This window comes from Homo sapiens, chromosome 3, assembly GCF_000001405.40.
Source record: "Homo sapiens chromosome 3, GRCh38.p14 Primary Assembly".
NCBI classification, from domain to species: Eukaryota; Metazoa; Chordata; class Mammalia; order Primates; family Hominidae; genus Homo; species Homo sapiens.
Window position 1 is genome coordinate 80,675,054 of NC_000003.12, and position 26,473 is coordinate 80,701,526.

Consider the following 26,473-nt stretch of genomic DNA (forward strand, 5'->3'; position numbering starts at 1 on the left):
TTAAAAAAATTGAGGCTAGCTAAATGTTAAACTTCAAATAGTTGAGGTTTAAAGAAGTAATCGATGTCTCTTTTCCCAAAGTTAATAATAGAAAAAAAAAACATTATCTCCCGAGAAGAAGAGAGGCATATTGCAGAATAATCAAATTACTTTTCATTGAAGAGTAACTACGGGATTTTTTTTATATGGAACTATAACATTTCAGAGGTGGAAGGACACTCGAGAATGAGCTTTCAAATAAGAACTGAAATGATGTCTGCAGTGTGACCGACTCCATCATATACTATTGGTGTGATATCTGCTAAGCTACTTGGCATTACGATCCAAGTAACTTTAGGGCTTTTGGAATAAATGCAGATTATTACCACACCATCTCATAAGAGTTGTTATCAAGGGTAAATTAGATAATATGTGCAAATGCTTTATTCCAGTTCCTGGCACAAATTAAATGATCAAGCATATGATTAACTAGTTCAACTCCATTATTTAACAGGTGAAGTAAGAACTAGAAATATTTTAAATCACTCAATTAAGGTAACAAGGCTAATTAGCAGCAAAATTGTAATTAAAAGTATGAAACCTGGCATTTTGAAATTTACATTTTAAATAGAATTATGTTCAATTCTTATATTCATGTTGATAGATACCTCTTAAGCAATGCACATATTTTTTGAGCATTGCTTCTTCTATTCTAAGAATTAAACTAAACACTGTCGGAGATCAACAGATAAATCAGTACTTTCGTGAAGCTTATCATTTAATAGAAAAAAATAAAAATGTAGGACTAGAATTATAACACAGAAACAACATTTCCTAAGAGGAAAGATCACGTTTAGTTGAATACAACTGGAAAAGTCTCCTTAGATAAACTATTGTTGAGATGTATTTTAAAAATAGATGTACCTTTTCCCTGCCAAAGGCTTACTTACAACTTACGTGTCTACTTGAACGTCCTCCCAAGGATATGTGACTCTCACAACTCTGCTTCCTCTGACTCTTCCCTTTATACCTTTTTGTTGTTGCTATAAATATTTTATTTCATGCTAAATTTATAATCACCCAGGAGGTTTATTGTTTAAAAGTTATAATCATATCATGTTTTAAAAACATAAAAGAAAAAAAGCAACTAATAAAATCACCTGGTTTTAGAAGTTTCTCTAGCCTTTCGTTTGCGCTTATTTATTTTTGCGTGACAATTGTGAAATCCAAACAAAGAAAAGAACATTTTCTTTATCTCTAATTATCTGTGCTTTTATGTGAGCGACTCCAAATTTTATTTTAAAATCATTGGAAAAAAAATAAGAAGGCTTGTCATAGTGTCTGATTAACTTTTTAATTGTACTTTAAATCTTGGCTCAGCTTTAACCATCTGTCCATGTATCACTTCACTCTCCATAGCTGCTAGGCTCAATTAGAGACCCATCTGAGGAGTTCTCTCAGCACTTTGGGACACAGTACTCATCACGTTGAAGGGTCATCATATGTGTTCCCATTTTTTTCTCTGCAGGAAAGTGAGCTTCTGGAAGGCTGTATCTGAGTCCTGTTCCTCCAATATTCAATGAATGCTGTCTGAATGGATCAATCAAATGGAGCTCTGTTTCAATAAGAATTTACCATGCAAAACAAGAAGACAAAGGAGTTTCTAAAACGGAGCGGGTATCAAAAGTAGTCTAGGAACAGAATTATTGGAACAGTTTACACATTATCAGAAAAATACAAACAGTAGTAATTGTCCTGAGATAAAAGAAAAAGAAGGTCAAAAATAGGAAGAAATCTAAGCTGTTAGACAGTCATTATAAAGGCTTGTTTGCTTTAATTTTCTCATTTAATTATGATATTTCTGTTCATTCAATATACTTGGATAAATATTGTTTAAACATGTTTTATGAATATTACAGTGAAAAAGAGTAATAATTCTAAAGAAAAAAAGGTTAAAAAGTATAAAGCTCAATTTAAAAGAAAATGTCTAAAAGAAGCTTTGAATAAAAGCTATGATGCCCTCTGGTGTGCACACATTTTAGAACCAGTCTAATACAGACTTTACATATATATTCACTACATACTAATTGCTTAAAAATTCCATTAGAAAGTATAACAATTCACAATATACTTAATTTCAAAAGACCCAAAATACTAACATAAACTATTTCATAAATTTTTAAAATATAGATGCAAATGAGCCTAGTTTTTTTCTGTTTGTGGGTGTGGTAGTAATTTCTGACTAAAATGTCAAAGCCTAAGTTCTCAATGAGCTTGTCTGCAACTCATCAGAGAATTATGAATAAACATGGATGGAGGAGTATGCAGATTTCCTAATAGAAAAGCCATGAATGTTTTAACACCCAGGGGTTCAAATTATAATAAAGGGATAGCACCTGTCACTGGAGGCAAAATACAAGATCACCTTTTCAATCCCAGGAGCAATTAAATCACAGACAATTTAGCCTCTCTCTGGAAAGCAGTGTCTCCAAAGAATCCATGTGTATGTATATCTCAGAGTGCCACAAGTAAAGAGGTTGCTTTAAATCCCTCTTCTTAGTATTTCCCATATATCTTATGAAAAGGTTCCCCACCACCAATTAAAGGATGATTTCCTGTATTTTACTAAATTATGAGAGGACATACTTACATGGCCTCTTCTGATTATGACAGCTGATCACTAATATGATGTGACCTCCCCATTTCATGTACTTTTGTGCAGCCGTGATTTCTGCATTGAAGCTTTGGTAAAAATGTTTCAATTCATTTGTCTAATGGCGTATTTTTACAGGAAAAATACCGAGAAAAATTATATTGAACTCTCTGGAGAATCTATGCAGCTTGTTTAACAGATGTGTATTCATCTGAGAAAATGCATGCACTGGCCATGCTTATATCCTATTCTGAAGGATGACTCATGCAGTTTCCTGTGTTTCTAGCATCAATATGCCACCACTCTGATGACAGCTTCTTACTCTAGGGATTAGAAGGAGGTTCCTATGACGCAGACTGGTCCTCGGCCTCTCATCCAGGTGGCAGAGTGGAGTAAAAGGCAAGAACGCAGGCAACAGAGAAGTTCAAGACTGAAGAATCCAGGAGGAAGCAGAAGAAACAAGTCCCGCAGAGCAGAGCCCATGAAGCAAAGATGCTTGAAGCTTAAATACCAAAGAGGGGAGAACTGCAGTAAGAGGGGAAGTGTACGCTTCTGAAAAAACTCTGGGTGGCAGCAGGGGAGTCGAGCTTCTGGAGCAGGACACGCATTACTGTTCCAGAAAGCACAAGCACACTCTTCCACACGCTACAACCTCTGCTCTCTGAGGCCTGCCAAGGCGGCAACATAGATGATTTTCTCTCTTTCTGACTGCCCTTAATGAATATATATTTACTGAAGTTACCTTAACAACTAACCATTCTTTTTAGCCTAAAATGCATATCCAGAGTATGCACTGTACTCAAATGACTTCACTATCTGCATATCACATACTCAATAGTGTCAGTTCCAAAAATGGTCCATTACAATGAAAGAAAAAAATAAAAGAGAGTTTTAAAAGCCAGAAATTTAGTTCTGTGAAAACATACAAATTTGATATGGAGAAGATAAATTTTGGAACACTACAGAGTTCCTGAGTTTACTGCATAAATGATGGAAGTCAAGAATAGCAATCAAGAATTAATTCATGTATTCCATAACATTTTTGAGCTTCTTTTATAAACCAGGCTTTTAAAAATTAACTACTAGAAACTGAAAGATTGTAAAATGAAGTTCTATGTTCAAAATTAATTTTTAGATATTCATGGGACTAAATACATGGAAAAATACTGTGACATCATTAACGAAAAAACAAACACATAACAGTAAAATATTATGAGGTCAGGAATAGGCTGGGCCCAGTGGCTCACGCCTGTAATCCCAGCGCTTTGGGAGGCCGAGGCAGGTGGATCACCTGAGATCAGGAGTTCAAGACCAGTCTGGCCAACATGGTGAAACTCCATCTCTACTAAAAATACCAAAGATTAGCCAGGCGTGGTGGCATGCACCTGTAATCCCAGCTACTCAGGAGGCTGAGGCAGGAGAATTGCTTGAACCTGGGAGGCGGAGGTTGCAGTGAGCCAAGATCACCCCATTGCACTGCAGTCTGGGCAACAAGAGCGAAACTCAACAAAACAAAACAAAAGGTCAAATATAAATATACACAAATAAACCTGAATACGGGCCGGGCACGGTGGCTCACGCCTGTAATCTCAGCACTTTGGGAGGCCGAGGCGGGCGGATCACCAGGTCAGGAGATGGAGACCATCCTGGCTAACACGGTGAAAACCCGTCTCTGCTAAAAATACAAAAAATTAGCTGGGCGTGGTGGCAGCTGCCTGCCGTCCCAGCTACTCGGGAGGCTGAGGCAGGAGAATGGCGTGAACCTGGGAGGCGGAGCTTTCAGTGAGCCGAGATTGCGCCACTGCACTCCAGCCTGGGCGACACAGCAAGATTCCATCTCAAAAAAAAAAAAAACAAAAAAAAAACCTGAATATGAAGAATTAATTTACAAAAAGGACTATGGTTTTTAAATATTCTAAAGATGTAGTCTGTCAAATTTCCACATACAAAAATGGAAAATAAGTATATAATTATATATAATGTATTATAATTATGTCTATATATATGCAATATACATATAAAGTTGAAAATATGAGTGTGCACAGGCACACATGAAAGTCTAAAAAGAATCTTTTGGTAACAATGCCTTGGCTGGAAGACTTAATTTTGGTTAAATAAAATACAGCAATCTAACCTCGCCCAATAATTGCCACATGAAAATTATTTCTGCCAAGTCTATACTGATATCTATCTTCCTAAAATATAGTTGAATAGACATAACTTTCTCTGGCTTTTATTTTAACTATTGTCATATTTCTTAAACCATTCAGGCTCCTGTACCAAAATACCACAAACTATGTGATGATAAACAACAGTAATTTGTTTCTTACAATTCTGAAGGCTGGAATGTCCAAGATCATGATGCCAGCAGATTCAGTGTCTGGTAAGAATCTGCTTCCTCTTAGACAGCTATATTCTTATCCTAACCTCATACAGTGGAAGGGGTGAGGGGTATCTTTTGACCCTCTCCTATAAGAGCAATGATTTTATTTGTGCAGATTCCACTCCTATACATAATCACCTCCCAAAAGCCCCACGACCTAATACAATCATTTTGGGAGTGAAGATTACAACATACGTATTTTGGAGGGACATAAACATTTATACCATAGAGCCATACATATACAGGTTGAGCACCCTTAAGCTGAAAATATAAAATTCAAAATGCCCCATACTCTGAAACTTTTTGAGTGCCAACATGACACCAGAAGTGAAAGATTCACACTTGACCTCATGGGACTGGTGCATAAAAGTATTTAAAATGTTACATAAGATAATGTTCAGGTTATGCATACATGAAATAAAAATGAATTTTGTGTTTTAACTTTGGTCCCATCCCCAAGGCATTTCATTATGTATATTCAAATATTCCCAGATCCCCCCAAAATATGAAATCTGTAAGAAACACTTCTTGTCCCAAGCATCTTGGATTGGGAATATTCAACCTGTAGTTGGAGGGCACTGACATTAAAAATTGCCAAACTTAGGTGCAATTTGCTAAAAGGTGGAGGAGATCTAGAACTAAGTTAATGACAAGAAAAGAGACCACAGAATTGAGTAGTATTTCAAATCAACATAATCTTTTTCTCATTTTTTTAAATTCACAAAAATTAAGGTAACGGGCAATTGCTAACATGTACTAAAATTTCCAGTGCTACCTAGTTTACACAGCAATTCCCAGTTTTTTAATAGAAACTGAATCTTCTTCATACTAAGTCCTGAGAGGCTGATGACTTTTAAAATAATAGCCCTTTTAAATATTGTCCTTGAAAAGCCAAAATAAAGCTTTGATTTAAAAAAAATGCTATATATGTATGTGTGCATGGATATGTATCTGTGTGTGTCTGTGTGTGTGTTTGTGTGTGTATGCCACAATAAAACAGGTTCACATTTGCTCGCTGTTTAGTAGAAAATGAAAGATTTTGTTACTTTGAATAGCTTAGTTGAAAATGTTTAGCATTTCTAGTTGTGAAGCGTAAAAAAGAAAAGCCTTTCAATGCATACTACCTATTGTCTGGTCAAAATGAAGAGTGCAGTTATATATACCAATTATTTCATCAAAATATATTACTTAGAATAGAATTTCTCAAGTTATTAGGCCATTGTAAATTCCTAAGATGTCTACTATATTTCCTTATTTCTGGGTACTGATTCTGAGACTTTGAACCAAAATATCCCAAGAAGGGATTATGAGTCTAAGTTGTAATCATTTACGCAGGTGTCTTATTACTCAGATAAATTTGGGAACTATTTCTTCCTTAGTGGTTAATAAGAAAGGTATGGACGGAAAGAGAAACGTGCATTCAAGCATTGCTTATCAAATCAGATTTGTCAAATCTGATTTCTCCATAAGATCACTTGGGAAATTCTATAAAATCCAGATTTGGGGGCCTTGTTGTAGATGTACCTGTTTAAGAAAGTTTAGGAATCATAATATTTTAAAAGCTTCCCAAATCAAATTTGTATTCAATTTGTCTGAATATATCTGCGGGCTTTTTGGAGAGCTGAGATGAAAAATTGCTCTGATAAATCACTAAATTTGCATCACTTAGACTCCTAACAGTTTTTAATTTAATTTAATTTTATTTTATTAGAATACTTACATATTGTCATTTTGGATTTAATCCATTTTCTACTCTACACTGCTGTCAACTTTATCTTTGTCAACTCCCTATTTAATAAATATCTAGGATTCCTAAAGAAGTCCAAACCAGCTCAATATTTGCTCATCAATCTATTTATACATTCATTCTTTCAACAAAGACTTATTAAGTATATGTGTGGTTTTTTAGGAAACAATTATTGACTGATGAAACAAAAGACCAAGCCTATGTTCTCAGAGTGTTTTCTTTCTAGAGGGAGGAGACATAAAATCAGATAAACAATACCAACATATATTGATAGAGAAATAGATAAAGCACAATTGTCATCATTTTCTTGATAGCTATAACCAAGCCAATTAATTACAGGTACAGCATTTGAAGCCCATAGAACTCGAGGAAGTCCACAAATTAGTTATATGGGGGATATATTAAACTCTGAAATTAAATGCAAAAAATTATGTATATATGTATGTTCAAAATTTTCTGTGGAAATTATCCATTGCTATTGTCAGATGTTCAAAGGTATCATTGTTACCCAATAAGAATTTTCTGATAGAAAATGTGTCTTACAAATTCAAAAGATTTCAGGTCTCAGTCAGAGAGTGTATTAGTTTATTATTGCTGCTGTAACAAACTACCATAAACTTAGTGGCTTAAAACCACACCAATTGAGGGCAGAAGTATGAAATCAATTTCATTTGGCCAAAGTCAAGGTGTCACCAGGCTGGATACTTCTTGAGGCTCTGGAGGGATTCCATTTCTTTGTTTTTTCTAGCTCCTCTAAGTCCCCTGTATTCCTTGGCCAGTGCCTTTTTCTCATCTTCAAAGCATATCACAAAGAGTTTGCTACTGCAGTCACATCTTCTCTGATACACTCTGATCATCTGCTCTCTCTTAGGAGGACCCTCATGATTATATTTGGGACCCACCTGAATAATCCAGGAATATCTCCTCGACATCAACATTCTTAATTTAATCCCACTGACAAGATCTCTTTTGCCATATAAGGTAACATTAACAGATTCTGAGGATTAGGGTGTGGACATTTTTGGAAGGGAGTAGCATTATTCAGTCTACCACAGTGGATTAAGGAGGTATTTAGGGAAGGCAATTACATAATTTATAATCACTAAAATCATAAAATCTAGGTGGTCATCTTCTTTATGTTGATATACAGTCACAGGTACCTTTTTACAGATGTAATATAGTTTACATCAAGGATTGGCAAGCTTTTTCTAAAAAGTAACTATTTTAGACTTTGTGGGTAATGTTATGTCTAGTGTAACTGACAAACCCTGCCACTGTACTGGGAAAGAACCCATAAGCAATATATAAATTAATGAATAGGAATATGTTCAAATAAAACTTTATTTACAAAAACAGGAAGTGGGCAGCATTTGACCCATGGTCCAGAGTTTTCTGATCCCTGGTTTAGATAAGTATAAACACGTTAAGCATTTAGTGAGAAGCTATTTTATGTGATATTCTTTGGTAATAAGGTTGTAACATGTTTAATAACCTGGTCTTTGGACACAAACACATTTGGGTTCAAAACTCATTTTCGTCACAAGCATTATAAAATTACAAAAATTAATTAGCTGTCTAAACATAACCCCATCTGTCACATAGTCACATTTACTTAACTGGGTTATGTTTCTAAGACGTGATATTATAGGTATAGAACATGTTCCTGAGGTTGGCAGATATTTAAGTGCCAATAAATATTTTATATTACATTCATGCATAGATGCTGGGGTATAACAATATTTCACTAGACTGTAGAGACATACATACAGATCCAGTCAATAAAACAGTACAAAGTGTATTAAATTAAATATGGGGTAGATAATAGTAATAAAAGAAGTCACAGCTGATATTTAGCTGTGTATTTGAGTCCTTAAATGAGGTTAAAATTGCTTAATAATTGTTGGAAAAAAATGCTAAAATTTTGACTTTAAAAAAATTCCTAATATTATAGTAAAAACAATAAGGTATATAATTCTGATTTAACAATAATTCAAGTTTTTTTAAATTTTATTATTATTATACTTTAAGTTTTAGGGTACATGTGCACGACGTGCAGGTTTGTTACATATGTATACATGTGCCATGCTGGTATGCTGCACCCATTAACTCATCATTTAGCATTAGGTATATCTCCTAATGCTATCCCTCCCCCCTCCCCCCACCCTACAACAGTCCCCGGTGTGTGATGTTCCCCTTCCTGTGTCCATGTGTTCTCATTGTTCAATTCCCACCTATGAGTGAGAACATGCGGTGTTTGGTTTTTTGTCCTTGCGATAGTTTGCTGAGAATGATGGTTTCAAGTTTTAAGTCCATATACATTTTATTTAATTGGAAAACTAAAATTTAAAGTATTTAATTTAAATTTTTATTGCTCAAGACGTACAATGGCTGGGCGTGGTGGCTCATGCCTGTAATCCCAGCACTTTGGGAGGCCAAGGAACGCAGATCAACTGAGGTCAGGAGTTCAAGACCAGCCTGGCCAACATGGTGAAACCCCATCTCTACTAAAAATACAAAAATTAGTCGGGTGTGGTGGCAGGCGCCTGTAGTCTCAGCTACTCAGGAGGCTGAGGCAGGAGAATTGCTTGAACCCGGGAGGTGGAGGTTGCAGTGAGGCAAGATCACACCATTGCACTCCAGCCTGGGCGACAGAGCAAGACTCTGTCTGAAAAAAAAAAAAAAAAAAAAAAAAAGAAGAAGAAGTACATCAATATTAAAAAAAATGGGCTTGAAAATGTATTAAAACTCAAATCATCTTTCCTCTTATGATTAGAAATCATTTCAGACACTTTTCAAGGAGGATTCTATTTGAACTAGACAGTGCTGATTGGTGATTTGGTACATATTCTTCTCTAATTCAAAGGCCACAGTCCACTTATTCAAATTTTGGCATTATTCATGTCAAAGTAAATTTTGTACAGCCTCACATGAAGTAAAAAATTGACAGTGTCCAATAACTTTTCCTAGTTTATAATATGTTTAGGCTTACAGAAAAAGTATTCACTTTCATAATGAAAATATATGAAATTATTTTGACTAAACTATCTAAAATATCAAGACTTAAGAGAACAATGTAAATAACTCTCTATTTTTTCCTGCAACAGAGAGTTATTAAATGTTTTTCACCATTTTGATACTTATTATTCTACAACCATGAAAGCCAAATCAGGCTATTTCAAACTTACTTATATGAAGCATTTTTGTTAGTAGAAAGCTTCTTATCCCTCTGCTTGGGAATATAAATAATGTAGAGATTTTTTGGTTGTTGTTCTCAAATGCCAACTTAAAAAGCTACATATCCTCTTTTGCTCTCAAGTGTTTTATATCATATATTAAAGAATTCTTCTCTTGAAGACATTATAAAAGTATTTGTTATAGTATAAATCCAGTTCAGAAAAAATATACTTGAGCAACTTCTAAGAAGAAAATACGTGATTTAGACATTGAGTCTGAAATATTACTCTGACAATATTTGTATTCTAAAAAGTGATATGTTTGCCTAAGGAAAGTTCTATTCAATTTTTGTTTGAGTAATAACATTTTAATTTTACTAAAAATTCTTAATTCTAAGCAATTCTTAAAGTTCTTTTGAGCACAGATATGATATAGAAAGATTATTCCAATTATATTTAGTAGGATAGATTACATTTTGAGAGATATCAGAGATAGCAAACAATTTCAAAACAAATTACACAATAGATTAAGTTAGTGGAGGTAGAAAATGGAGAAGCATTGATGGACAGAAGAGAAAAGTAGTTTTGAATTTCTCAGGGTACAGTGTTATGTCATTGTTAAAATTATCTTGGAGGAAGATAGGCCTGAATTCAGGGCCTTGCTTTTTATTTACTCATTATGAGAACATTGTAATGCTTTTATCTGAGACCAAGAACTAGTTATATAACCTACCTCATAAACATAGGAAAATGAAATGAGATACAGTGTGACAAGCAACTTGTACAATGTCTTTTAGGGGCTGGTAGTCGAGATAGTAATAGAATATCTAATGACATATTAATTGAATGGAAGAAGAAAAAGAAAAATATAAATTGAATGTGATTGAAGTTGCAATTCTGTGATTCAGCCATTAAAAGAAACAGAAAAAGCTGGATGTGAAGGGAGTGATAAAGCAAAGAGCTAAACATAAGGCTAAAAATCTACTCTTATTCCTCTAACACCTTGCATTATTAGTTCTTACAATATTTTGACTATCTTTAATTGGACTTTGGTTATTCATCCTAATTAACTAATAAGCTATTTATTCTAAAACACGATTGTTTTTATTTAACACTAGGAATGCTTTGTCTCATATTTACTACCATAAAGAGCAGTTGGCTTGTTCCTGTCCACACAGGTTTACTTGTCATTCATTGCCTTCTGCTTTATTGATTAAATGACTTTTTGCGAATTTGTATTCAGTCCAGCACCTCCGTTTCTAAAAGATAGGGCCTAGAAAAATGATGCAGTTTCTGGGGCCAAATAGATTGTGGCACAGCTGATGCTTTGTTCAAAATCTATACCGACTGAAATAACTGGATCAATCATGTGGCTATCTGCATTGATTCATAAGGCTGCTGACAATTTGAATCAGCTGTCATTTTGCATAGAAAACTGTTGCCAAAATCTATATGATTAAAATCAACTTTCTTTTAAATAGATGGTAAATAGAACACAAAAGACAAATCAGAGAAGGAAAAGTATAACATCTACCAACTGGAAAACTAATGCCACTATTTCATCAACATTACTATTCATACTAAACATATTTTCATTGCTAAGCCTATGGCACTATACAAGAAAGTTGAATATAATAAATATCAAAGAATAGTTTTGAAGATATGGAGATAGCTAACAGTCATAATGAAAGATATTTAGAATGTATAGCTCTATGGAAAATACATAGTGAAATATATACAGACAGGAGTTATCAATTATAAAACCTTAACTCTTTAACATTTTTAAAAACAAACCTAATTGTGCCTGTGTCTTTTTTGTTTACTAATATCAAGCACATATTCTTTCTAAAACATGTAAATTTATGTCTCAATTCTAGTGTCCAGGGAATAATTTTTCTATTCCATAAGACTATAAAGTCCAAAACAAAAATCTTCAGAAAACTGTTTCATGTCTTGCTTCTCACTATTGTTTGTTTAGCTATGAGAAATAATAATATATTTATCATAGAATTTTAAGAAGAGTTTAGTATGTTTCATAACTTTAGGTATCTCAAAAGTGTTTTGTGAGCAGTAGGACTAATGTAATATTGTTTATTTTTATTCAGGATGTATTAATTTCTTTTCATCATTCACAGCATAATATCTACCTCTGAGAGTAGCAACTTGAGCTCAAAATATGTACTTTATTTCCAGCAAAAACATCTTTAAAATAATTACATATTTCAATAAACAATATAAACTCTTTTCTTCCATTTTGTTAACTTATCTCTAATTATGAAATTAAAATAATCAAATTCTAAATATTTTATTTAAATATTAAAAAAGTTTTCACAAGTGAATGTTTCAGATGTTTGTCTCAAAAATGCTGTTTAAAAACTTTTCAGTCATATAATCATCAATATTTTAATTTTAAGCAAAGGAAATTAAAACCACCATTACTATAATTCAAACTTATATATAGAAGTCACATATCATTCATATCTTACAGATTTTATTAAATTCTAATTTAAAAATTTGAAATGTTTAATGTACCAATAAATTAGTGGGAATACATAAAAGACAATTTTGGTATACAATATTAACTAAATACTTAATTTTCAATTTCTATTTAAATTTGTGTATATTTTACTTATTTTTCTCATTGAACTGAATTCAATGGGTATTTTCCAAATGTAAAATTATATCTTCAAGAAAACGAATCATGGGTGCTTCATAGACATCTTCCTATTAATTTATTTCCTTAAAAATTCAACATATTAGAGATTAAATATATTATTTACAATACTCACTTTTGATCAATGTTTTTAACCTTAAAATTTTTAACTTTAAGAAAAAAAACTCTTAAAATATTTATATTTCTAATTACAGATTATATATGACTATCACTAAAGGTTAATTTAATTTATGTAGCTGAAAATAAATTAACATAAAGCATAGAAGAGAGTATGAGAGGGCAACTTACTCCTTGTTTCTAAAACTGGCAAAGTGTGAAGGTCACAGCTTATATATTAATATATTCTATTATGTCATCTGTTGTAAACAAAGAATATTAAATACTCTTATTCATTTTCTTCTAATGAGCATATATTACTAAGGTGTCTAATGAATAGATAAAACATCTTTTTTCATTAAATATTTATTAAAATAATATTCTCTACGCTCACCAATTAAGGGACAATTTATTCCAAAAAGATAGCAGGGCAAACGCCAAAGAGACTGACTTCATTCGCTTATAAGCCTCTGGCTATCAAATCGATAATATTCCCTCCTGTTCTTTATTGGATAAATAAAAATAAAATAAAATACAATGTAAACCAAAGGAAGTTATTTAAAGCTAAATTGAATGCAAAAATTTTTATTGAATTCCATATTAAATTCAAAATCTTTAGTGATTTACTGAAAAGTGTCTATTTGCATTAAAGGCTCTATTCCTTTCTCTTAAATGTGTGTAAAAAAGAGTCTAATAATTCATTTATATCAAAATGCTTGACAACTCCAAAATATTAAACAGTTTTTCACTCTCTCTTCCTGTCTCTTTCTCTCTCTCTCTGTCTCTCTCACGCACACACACTCATGCGCATACACGGATTTAACTATGCACAGTAGATGAGTAGAATTATTTAAATTAAAGCAGATAATTTCTGTGTAGTTGTTCTACAAAATTACAAAGATTGTTATCAATAATAATACATCGGAGGTAAGGATTTACTATAATAAGCATAAGTAACAGTTATAGGTACATAGATATAAATATACATAAAAATTATGGGTAAATTATACATGATGATAATGAAGGTAAATAGATAATAGATTTTTATGTTTATATTCTTTAGAAACTGTTTACTGTTTTATAATTTGAGTTTAATTTATGTTCATAATTGATTCCACCACAAGTATTTATCAATTGTTTCTCTTTCTTAATGTTTTCTGGGAGAAAAAGCAAATACCCTTTCTTTCTTTTCTAAATAAACTGACAAAGCAATACACGTTTATGGAAAAATGTTTATAGGGAAGGATTTCAGTTTTTCTTCAAAGCAGGAAATGGGTGCCCTCTGCTGTCGATTTGTAGGTTATTTTAGCCAGTATGATTCTGCTACATGTGAAAATATTCAAAAGTGTAAAAACCTATTATTATATTATTTATAATATATCATATATAAATATGATATATTGTATTACACATTCTATGCAAATAGAATATGTTGTATTATATATAAATAATATTTAATGTATAAAGTTGATAATTTTTCAAAATCAAGATTTGGTTCAGTTACATGAAAGATGAATTAGCTGAGGAGTTGGAAGAGGGGATTATTAATTGTTTGTAAGTATTTATACAATAGAAAGCAAAGACGACAAAAGCCCAAAGCTTTTAAATGAATAAAAAGCAAAGAATTGAGTTTCAGGTGAATATTTTTAAAAAAATAATTATTCAATGTTTCACTACCATCTGCACCATCAATAATACATAGCACATGGAGTATTTTTTCTGAGTAGTTTATTAGAATAATACAAAAGAATATCACAAGAGTTAATTGATATTTATTCTTTTCTACTTTTTCCTCATTCTCTCTCAATCGCGCAGAAATGCTTTTTTTAAAAAAGCAATGTGAATGTTATGCAATAAATTATAAATGTAAGGAAAACCTTCTCATCATTTAATTTTCAGATTGTATAACATACGTTCAGGTCTTTTATTTGATTTAAATATTATAAATTAGGAAGTTTAATATATAACAAACCAAAAAAACTCCCATTTAATGAACATAATTATAACAAAGTATTTAAATACATTTAAAACTATCCTCCTCCTGAAATTACTCACATTTTTTAAACACTTGAGTATTTACTTAATAGTTATTTATTATCTATCTATAAGGCAGTTACTCTAATAAACCTAAGAATAAAGCCATGAGTTAGGCAAGGATCCTGGTGTCAAAAAGCATGTGTTACTATAATATGGTTTAGTTATACTACCTAAAATATCACCAGTCATTATATGTGAAAATATAGAGTATTTTTTAAAAAGTACATACATACCAAAATCTTATTTCTCAACCCAAATATTAGCTCCACTCCATGTTGAAATTCACTGCAGGTGTAGATATATTGAGATATATGTTATGTGTGTATGCGTGTATATATATGTGTTGGGGCGGGGGAAAGATAAAGCGAGAGAAAGACAGAGACAGAAAGCAACTGAGAAAGAAACAGAGAGAGATTCCGATACATAATTTCTGAATATAACTTTTTACCAATAATTCATAAATTCAAAAAAAGACAATATATTTATTATCGCAGTGCTTATCCACAAAATTAAATATAATCTCTTTCAAATGTTTTATTTATATACAAGTTAGAAAGAAATGTTCTCCTCTTAATTGATCTCAAATAATTTGCCATGCTTTCTAATAATTAGACATAACAGACATCTTTAATAAATTACTCATTTTTGAGGTATAAATTTTCTGAATCTTTTTTAACCAATAAGAAACTACGTTTCAAACTATAGTCTCCTTTTTCTTAATGTCCTAAGAAAGATGCCCTCAAATTTCACTGCCCATTTACTCTGATGTACTTTAGCCCCGAGGTACATAAAATCCATTACATCATGATTTGATGCAGTGAAAAATTCATTAAAGAAATATGAACTCTGAATAAAAGTATTTCAAACAAGAATTATTTTAAATAAATAATTGTGTGGCAGAGAAGTGAATTTAATTTTTCTAATAAGATAACAGAGAGTGATCCATCAGTGGAAAGATGATAGACTACTAGTAAAGAGACGTATACTTCAAGAGTATCAATTAGTGACAACCAAAAATGACTGTATCATACATATAAATAAAAATAATTTAAAAGAAAAACACATTCAAATGATGTTGCAATATACCTGTGGACCCAAAATTTTGTTTTGATAGGGATTTCACAATTTTCAATGGGTTCTCTGAGAAAAGAGTTTTTAAAAATAATTATTTAAGATTTTTGTAATTTGTAGATCTATATATTTATAGGGTACATGAGATATTTTGATATAGGCATGCAATGTGAAATAAGCACATTGTGAGAACATGTGATGTTTCTCTTTCTGTGCCTGGCTTATTTCACTTAACATAATGAGCTCCAGTTCTATCCATGTTGTTGCAAATGACTGGATCTCACTCTTTTTATGGCTGAATAGTACTCCATTGTGCATATGTACCACATTTTCTTTATCCATTAATTCGGTGATGGCCACTTGGGTTGCTTCCAAAAGTTAGCTATTGTAAAGAGTGCTGCAACAAAGAGGAGTGTGGATATCCCTTTCATATACTGTTTTCCTTTCTTTGGAGTATGTATGAAGCAGTAGGATTGCTGGATCTTATGGACTGCTCAATTTCTAGTTTTTTGAGAAACCTCCAAACTGCTCCCCATAGTGGTTGTACCACCAACAGTGTACAGGATTCCCTTTTCTCCACATCTATTGCCTGTCTTTTGGATATAAGCTATTTTAAATGGAATGAGATGATAGAGTACAGTACTTTTGCTTTGCGTTTCTCTGATGATCCATGTCGTTGAGCACTTTTTCTTTTCTGTTTTTTTTTTTGTGTTTTTTTTTTTTTTTTTTTGAGATGGAGTCTCGCACTGTTGCCCAGGCTGGAGTGCAATGGAGCAATCTCGGCCCACTGCAACTTCTGCCTCCTGGGTTCAAGAGATTCTCCTGCCTCAGCCTCCCGAGTAGCTGGGATTACAGGCGCTTGCCACCACGCCCAGCTGTTTTTTGTATTTTTAATAGAGACGGGGTTTCACCATATTGACCAGGCTGGTCTTGAACTCCTGACTTCAGGTGATCCACCCACCTCGGCCTCCCAAACTTCTGGGATTACCGGCGTGAGCCACCGTGCCTGGCCCATTGAGCACCTTTACACATGCCTGTTTGCAATGTGTGTATCTTCTTTTGAGACATGTCTATTCAAATATTTTAAATATTTTGCCCATTTTTAAAAATCAGACTATTAGGTATTTTTCCTATAGTGTTGTTTAAGCTCCTTTAAATGTTCTGGTTAATAAACCCTTGTCAGATGGGTAGTTTGCAAATATTTTCTCCCATTTTGTGGGCTGTCTCTTCAGTTTTTCTATTGTCTCCTTTGCTGAACAGAAGCTTTTTAACTTGATGCGATCCCATTTGTCCAATTTTGGCTTCGTTTCCTGGCTTGTGGGGTATTGCTCAAGAAATCTTTGCCCAGACCAATGTCCTAGAGATGTTCCCCAATGGTTTCTTGTAGTTTTATAGTTTGAGGCCTTAGGTTTAAGTCTTTAATCTATTTTCTTTTGATTTTTGTGTATGGTGAGGGATGGGGATCTACTTTGGTTCTTTTGCATACGGATATTCAGTTTTCCCAGCACCATTTATGAAGATATTGTCTTTTCCCCAGTGTATGTTCTTGTCACCTCTGTCAAAAATGAGTTTTCTGTATGTGTGTGGATTTGTTTCTGAGTTCTCTATTCTGTTCCATTGGTCTATGTGTCCGTTTTTATGCCAGTGTCATGCTGGCTCTGTAGCATAACTTGAAGTCAGGTAATGTGATTCCTCTGGTTTTGTTCTTTTAGCTTAGGATAGCTTTGGCTATTCTGGTCTTTGTAGTCCCATATAAATTTAAGGATTGTTTTTACTATTTCCGTGAAGAATGCTATTGGCATTTTGATAGGGATTGTATCAAATCTGTAGATTGCTTTGAGTAGTATGAACATTTTAACTATATTGATTATTCCAATCCATGTACATGGAATATTCTCCCGTTTTTCGGGGGTCCTCTTCAATTTCCTTTATCAATGTTTTTATAGTTTTCATTACAGAGATCTTTCACTTCTTTGATTAATTCCAAGGTATTTAATTTTATGTGTAGCTTTTGTAAATGGGATTACTTTTTAAATTTCTCTTTCACATTGTTCACTGCTGGCATATAGAAATGCTACTGATTTTTGTATGTTAATTTTGTATACTGCAACTTTATTGTTTTTCAGTTCTAATAATTTTCTTGTGAAGTCTTTAGTTTTTTCCAAATATAAGATCATATTATCATCAAGTAAGGATAATTTGACTTCTTCCTTTCCAACTTGGTTGTCCTTTATATATGTCTCTTGTCTGATTGTTCCAACTAGAAATTCCAGTAATATGTTGAATAAAAATGGTGACAGTGGGCATTCTTATCCTGTTCCAGATCTTAGAGGAAAGGTCTTAAGGTTCCCCACTCAGTATGATACTAGATGTGGGTCTGTCTGTCTTATATGGCTTTTATTATACTGAAGTATGTTTATGTCATCCCCAGTTTTTTGAGGGCTTTTATCATGAAGCGACATTGAATTTTATCAAATGCTTTTTTCAGCATCAATTGAAAAGATCATACGTTTTTTATCTTTTATTCTGTTATACAATATATCATGTTGATTGATTTGCGTATGTTGAATCATCCTTGCATCCCAGGGATAAATTCCACTTGGTCATGATAAGTGATCTTTCTAACGTACTGTTTAAGTTTTTTGTTTCTTTGTGTGTTTGTTGAGACAAGGTCTTACTCTGTCACCCAGGCTGGAGTGTAGTGGCATAATCATGGCTCACTGCAGCCTCGACTTGCTGGGCTCAAGTGATTCTCTCACCTCAGTCTCCTTCGTAGCTGGGACTACAGGCACGCACCACCATGCCTGGCTAATTTTTTGTACTTTTTATAAAGATGGGGTTTTGCCATGTCACCCAACGGTCTTGAACTATTGAGCTCAAGCAATCTGCTTGTCTTAGCCTCCCAAAGGGCTGGTATTGCCAGTGTGAGCCCCTGCACCCAGCCTATTTTGTATTAATATGTTGTGTAACTTCTTTTGGGAGGCATATTCTGTATTTAACTTTTTCATATTGTTTGATGTAGTCACATTTATATAGTTTATGGTGTATATTAATAAATTAGTTTTTCCTTTTTAAGTTTCTGTTCTAAGTTGTCATTCAACTACCTTCTGATACTTACATATGCTTTATTCCTTAAACATTAATCATAAAGTACAGGAATAAAAAGAATTAATTTTGACATTTGTCATTTATTATTATTACAAAATAAGTATCCTTTAAGGAAATATTAATATTAACTAATGCAAGATCTCATGCTGTTACATTACTGCCATAGACAGCTATATAGTCATTACTTTCTATGGCAGTAGGAGTTAAAAGTAGAATGCTGTTCAAATTACTATTCTTGTACAAATTTTCTTTAAAAAGCCAGCGTATAATGGCTTAAACAGTATTAGGTTTCATATAAAAAAGGAATAAGAAATGCTTAATATGTCAACTCAACAATCTCATAGATGCACAATTATTTCCAAATATGACGAGCATTCAGGCCCCTTCAGTAGTTTTCCCTCTCAGGTTATACTTTGACCAGACTTAGCATCTCCAGCAATCTGGTATTGGTATGTCTGGTGATCAAGGTTACTACCTATGAATTCCTATCAGTCAAAATGTTAAATATTGCAACCTAGAGAGTGAGGCAGTATCATTGGGAAGCAGAGAACCTCTCTTTACTCTCTTTAGCTGTTGTATAAGTGCAAGATAAAGACCAATAACGTTTTGCATAAGTGTTAATACAAGCTGTTTCAGTCCAGCCTCCTTGTGCTCTGGCCTCAGTGCCTTAACTTACTGCCTCCGGCCCTACTCCTCTATTTATGTGTCCTGAAATTAACTAGCTTGCTAATTGGTTGTAGGTCCCAAAGGTCGAGAGCTATGAAAAACTGTATATACAAATTTGCCATCCTTAGTAATATAATGATGTTCTTAAGATCCTGAGACTACAGTCTTTCAGCTTCAGAGGACTAGCTTTAGTTTCTTTTAGTAGTAGTTATAACTAAAATTTTAACCTCTCTGAGTGTCAGTTTCCATCTTTGTAAACTTAGGAATTGCTCTGTAATTCACTGATATAGTTTATCTAAAGTTCCTGACACAAAATAAGCCATGATATATGTTAGCTATTATTAATTATTGTTTTTCTTATTGGCTTTACATTTGACTACTGAAAAGTCTTGTATTTTGGGATATATAGCAAAATAAATGAGGATACTTGGAGTTATCTATACAAATGGGTTCTAAGGGTTTTTTGTATAATAGATTTTTAAAAGTATAACAACTTAAAATTCATAGAAATTTGGAGGTGTATAGAAGAAATTCAAGTAAAAATAAATAACTTACCTTGGTTTATGATAATATATACATATGTATATTATATACTATATATACATTATATATGTATATATGTATATATAATGTATACATACTATATATTATACTATATATACAATATATAATATATAATATGAAAAGTTAAATACACATACATATATACATACTATGTGTACACTATATATAATATATAGTACGTATATAGAGTATATAATATATGTATACATAATATATACATACTGAATATTATATATTGTGTATATATAGTATATAATATACTGTATATATAATATATACATAATATATATTATATATAGGGTACCTATGGTATGTGTATATGTATGTGTATTTAACTTTTTATATTATATATTATATATGTATATATAGTATCAGAAAACTTTACCTCTAAACTATCATATCACAAAACTGTTCTATGCCTGGGATGTTGAGTGGTGGAAAATAATCTTTCCAACTCGGCATCACAATTTGTCCTCTAGTTTCTGAAGCATTACTCCTGAATCCAGAATCTCATAATATTTAATTAATATATCAGCTTCTTTTGGTCCTAACAGGTTTGTAGAAACACGTCAGATTTTCCAACACTTATTCATTCATTCAACAAGTATCTGTAATGTTTTTAAGTCTTTTATATGCTCTGATTAAGCAATGGTAAGCAAAACACAACTACAAGACTCTCAATTGTTACAGAGATAGCTATCCAGAGACGAAAAACAAATGTTAAATAATAATCCTTAAATAACTGTTTATTCTCTCCCAGTCAGTTCAACAGATATGTATTCATTTCATTCAACACACATTTATTTGGCTCCTGCTCCATGTGTTGCCCATAGAGATAAGATTAAAACAAAAAGCCTCCACCAAACTGGAGCTTAAACTCTAGTGAAAAAGACAATAATAAACAAATTCACAAATAAATATGTAACATCGTAGGTGACAAATTACACGGAAAAGATAAATACGCTAAGGAAGGTAGAAAATGTAAGTGGTTTGTAATTGCTAAATTAATTCGTATTAAATATGAATAAGGTAATATTTTTATAAGTGCTATAAATAAAAACATGGGTATCTTAAAAGACAGAAGAAAATGACAAAGAGGATTTACTCATGGTGGAGAAACTAGTCTGTTTCATCCATTAACATGTAGACTTTGGATCTCTGCCAGCCATTGTTAATCATTGATCTCTGTGGCTAGATTTCTTAAACATACACAGAAGTTCAATAACTTTTGATGCCATGAGGAATTGTGTGGACTAAGCACTAGGTAGACATTTGTGTGCAGCACGATTAGCTAGGTAATGTAAGTCTGCAGACCTTCACTTCTCCAGTGATTATTTCTTGCCTAACCTGTTTCAGTCCTAACCTGTTTGACTACATTGAGGTACTTCCTCTTGTGTTCCAACTCTGCCCCTCTGGCATGTCTTACTGTAGCTTGGCAGCCAGATTACGGTCCTCTTTTGGCTATCTTATTTCTCTTTTGAACTTATATATCTGAACTCAATTTCTAACTGCTTATTTGGTTTTACATTAGTTTCTCTTAATGCAGCTCTGGTTCTATCCTTAACAAATGCACGTTTATTTAGTAACAATAAATATTGTCCATTTGATCATTAATATGAACGGACTTACATTCTGTGGTCATAAAATGTCCAGAGTTTTATCTACATTGGTTGAAGAGGCCAACTGATCTTCCATCTCATCTAATTATTTGCATTTATTTAACATTATATCCTATTCCATATCTGCTTGAGTCTGTATTCATCAGTTAAATTCCAAGACATACAGTCCCTGACCATCCAGAAAGATCCTATGCTCCAGCTGCATTTTTCACAAAATTCTATTTGTCTTCATTGCAGTACATTACAATTACTATATTCCAATTTAAAAGCAGGAAAAATTATGCACCCAGTATGTGATAGATAATTGTTTAAATTAATAAATGGATAAATCAAGGTGCAGAAAAAAATGGACTCCCTCCAAAATTATTTCTTTTGTAGTTTGAAATGTTATTTTAAATGACGTATTCCAGCATTAAAATATTCCCACTCAGAACAGTCCTTTCTCCATATGTCTTACTACTTAGTATACCTATGTGCTGTATTAATAATACTTTAGCAACCAAATAGCAGAATGTGAGGATATGCCCTGCCTGGGAATATAAGCTTAGCTGTCCATCCAGAAAGGACATACAAGTTGGAAGAGTATCACTACTACATTTTGACTTTTAATCAACTGCCCTCACATTACCTGCACCATATTCTGTCTTCTTACCGTATATGGCATCTGTCTGCTTAAGCAAGAGTGGAGAAGATATTTTCTGTATGTTGTCACTGTTAGAAAGAACAAGTCATAGCTGCATGGAGCAAAGGTGAGGATTCGGGATTCTAACTGGTGTCCAAACAAACTTTCAATCAATCTTCTTGTTTTCATATCTTCTCTCTTTACAAGTATTTAGGAGTTTCACTGGCAGAAACATTCTATTATTCTATGTGTAAATACACTTGCCTTGTGTTGCATCTCTAGGCAAGCAATTAGCTTTCAACTTTGTTTTCCCTACTAAAGTATCACTGTAAAGCAGACTCAGTAATTACGGATCCCAAGAGAGGACTCTCACTGCATGGAGAATAGCAAAGGTGATTATTACGCCAAGTACCAGAAACTGAAGTCTATATAATGATTCCCACTGCATCCTGGGCTACTGCTTATGTCCATCATGCACTAGTTACCTATTTATCTGAGTCCAGTGTGACAGAATTCACTCACATACAAGTTATGTGAATCAGGTTTAATACTGACTGATAAGCTGAAAGGCACAGAAGACTGGATCAATTATGAGCAGATTCCCCAAGGCTTAAGAAACAGTACAGAGAAGAAAAAGTCTTGACTGTGTGTGCCCCATTTTGCACGACAGTTGAGGGACTCTGAAAGGCAGTTCACCCCTTTCAGAGGTTATATAATTCAGAGACTATGTGACTTATGGGGCAAAACTTTGAAGGACATCCTGCTTCTAGGGGAGAGAGAACAAAGCCCAGGCTGTCCTTCCTAATTCAAAATATTGCATTTCCAGCATGTTCTACAGTTATTCTTGAGATCTATAAGCAAGAAAGAGAGGAGAACTAGGTCATCCCAAGGCCATCTAGGGAAATGTCCTGCTATCACTTGCTCATCTGCTTGTTTTTCTTCCAACATTTTATTGACATCTCTTATTTTGTACAATAACTACCCATGGTATTTTTCCCTAGTGAGATGAAGCAAAGATGTATGTGTATACCAGTCTATGTTTATATAGATATAGAATGTATTCTATTTTTATAGTCCTCAGCTATTATATTTGATTTTTAAGAGTCGCTTCTATAAGTGCTTGAAAAAAAATTATCTCATGCCTTTGTGCCATTCTCCCCTCTTCCAAGCCTATAGAAACTTGACAGATGCTTCTGCAGAAGTACCAGTTAGGCAGACATCATCAAACATATATAAACACAAATTGGCTGCTTTTTTCTCTTTTCCCTTTCTCTTAGGAATTTCTGGCAATTCTGAACTAAGAGAAACGGGCAATGTTCTCCACTGTCTTTTAAAATATCCAAAATGAAAAAACGTTATTGTATAGGTAGATGTAAAAATTAATGAAGCACATAAAGGAACAGATAGTGTTAGAGCACTTATTTCAGTATACATGACTACTATTGTTAAAAACATTGCAGACAAGAGTTTTGATTTATTAATTCTAAAAAAGATTTGCAGTGACTTCTTGTCCAATTTTCTACAAAAATATAATTTTTTATTGATTTTAAGTTAAAATTTGTCATAGTTTTGGCCAGAATTAGCAACAAAACGTATAGTTTTCTGCTCATTTCGATATACCATAGCATGCTAAATGAATATTCACATTTTTATAAATTTATGTTTTTTAGTTTTAAATAATTTTACTTTTCAATTATCCCTATGATTTATTTTTTCCTAAATGACTTCATTTATATATTTAACTGCATTAGGAGTTGGTTTTGTAATTATCATTTATAACATTACCTGCAACCCTATCAATGTCAGTGGAGGCAAGCCTGTTTTTTTGGCAATAACATATATATGCAGTTTTCTTACATGTACAGTTAAATTTCAGTTTATATTTTGAGATATGAGCATACACTATTATGCTAAGAGAACTAAACAATTATTAATACTCAAATTTTTTTATTTGTTATTGTGTTATGCTTACAGTCACAGAGTAATGGTTTCATGACTGCTCTTTGTGTACCTTCTCAGTGAGTGTTATCGGGTTAGTAAAACTTTATAATCTCACTTTGGTTTCCCACTGCTAAGTGCTATGCATGTGTCACAAAAAATATTTTTCAACATGTCAAAAACAATGAAAATGTATGAATGAAATGAAAAGTAACAAGGAAAGAAATCAGCTATGATTTTGGTTATGGGGGTCATAGTTCCAGAACCAGTTGGCTATAAAACACTTTATCCAATAATATTGTTTTATCCATATTTTTAGGAATGTTTATAACGTGAATGTTGTTTCATCATGAGTTACAATCATATAAAACTGAATCCACATGGTAAATACAAGATGGTGTGTTTTCACTGGTGAGATTTTTATTTTTTTTAAATAGTGATGTTTCTTCTCTCACAAGTGATCATGCACCTTATTTTCTCCCTTATTCTTACTTAGAAGAGTATCTCATTATCTCCCTAATGAGAGATCTTGTGAAATCTGTCCTCCACTTTCAGATGCATAAAACAATGAGAAATTGGACCATTTCCTTCAAAAGATGTATTTTAAGTTCTATTCTTTCTTATTTTTGTCAACACTTGGTCATATTTTCTTCTATTTTCTCATTATCTCCCTCTAATTTTAGTTTAGCAATCATGTGATTTTAAAATATAATCTGTCTTAAGTAATGAAGATATTTTTATTTTTCACTAAATAAATTACATATTTGACAATACACATTTCAATTCCATCCTGATATTTAGTAGGTTCTGAATGTGCAAATAATATAATATTTTGCCTATCCTCTTGAGTATAAACAGTTTTCCAGAACTATTTGTGATAGTCATTGAGGGGCTCCACTCATTTCTCCCATCAAGAGAACCTAGTTACTGTGATATGTATAGGTGACAAATGGGCTTCAAATATCTGTTGCATTTCTGAATTCATGTTAAGGCCATACTCTCTCATGGGTGTTCCCAGCCAGTGACTAAGATTTCTAGGGCTAATAGAACTGAGCTATTCCTGCTGATCACAGGAAATTTTTGATGGGAAATCTTTACTCCAGTTCTCCTCATTAGACATGGAATGAAATTTCACAGAGCTGCACTGTGAGAGAAGTTTCTCTTAGCCCTTTCTTCTTCCTTTATACATTACTGTCTGAAGGTTTCTCACTGCCTACTTCTTTGTCCTTTCTCCTTTATTTTTCAAATACAATTTTCCCAGTAAATATTGTGCATGTGTCTTCGTGTCTGCTTACAGAAAGGTCCAAAATGGTGCACTAGTGATTTTTGTAGTAAAATTACAAATTAGTAACAGCTAAAAATTGGTGTGGTAATATTTGTGAACTACTGTGCAAGTCACCATACTTAGTTGGTAATGCTGAAATCTAACATAAGCACACCTCAGTTTCTGGATACAAAGTAAATCACATTATTTCCCCTGCCAAGGATCTGGTGAATATATCCAGGGATTTCCAAAAGAGAATCGCGCATGTAATTACAGACCAAGGTGTGCCCAGTGTCTGCTTTGTTCTTTTTCCCAGGCTAAGGATATCCCTTGAAGATAATTATTGCCTTCAACTGACATGTGAATGCATGTTTGTAAATGCCATAAATGCCACCGTTGTCTCTCAAGATTCTCAAAAACACAATTATTAAGAATACTAGGGAATTACCAGCAATAGGGAATTCCCACACTCCCTATAGAACATGTTGAAGAACCATTCTAACAGTGCTAAATGTTTCAATCAGTAAACCATTTCATCCAGGCCTTGAAATTAGACTGCTTGTGCCTAGAACATTTCAATATACAGAAACCAGATTCTGTATCTTCAAATAAATTGCCTGTAAAAGAATACTTCCAAAATATTTCTACAAGAAGAAGCAAGAATTTGTTGATATATCACGATGTAATAACCTCTTTAGAAATTAAGCCTATTCCTCAGATTTAAATTTCTTTAGAGTTGCAACTATATTTTTCACTGTAAGCAAGACTGTTTTGTAGATGTCTTTTAGGTCAAGAGTGTTTATGTTTAAGAGTTCTATATAATTTTTGATATCATGTCTGGTTGACATATCAATTATTGAGTGGAACACTGAATTCTTC

The 26,473-nt window shown here is 32.9% G+C and overlaps 2 long non-coding RNA genes across 6 annotated transcripts in view; one reads left to right on the forward strand and one right to left on the reverse strand.

Moving 5' to 3' along the window:
* LOC105377177 (uncharacterized) overlaps positions 1 to 26,473 on the reverse strand; it is a 250,124-nt gene that overhangs the window by 154,829 nt on the left and 68,822 nt on the right. The gene's annotated exons all lie outside the window — the stretch shown is intronic.
* Positions 4,903 to 26,473, forward strand: part of LOC105377176 (uncharacterized) — a 42,562-nt gene continuing 20,991 nt past the window's right edge. The window contains exons 1-2 of the long non-coding RNA XR_940989.3: positions 4,903 to 5,015; positions 7,634 to 7,743. This is a non-coding gene — a long non-coding RNA (uncharacterized LOC105377176). The remainder of the gene's footprint in view (positions 5,016 to 7,633; positions 7,744 to 26,473) is intronic.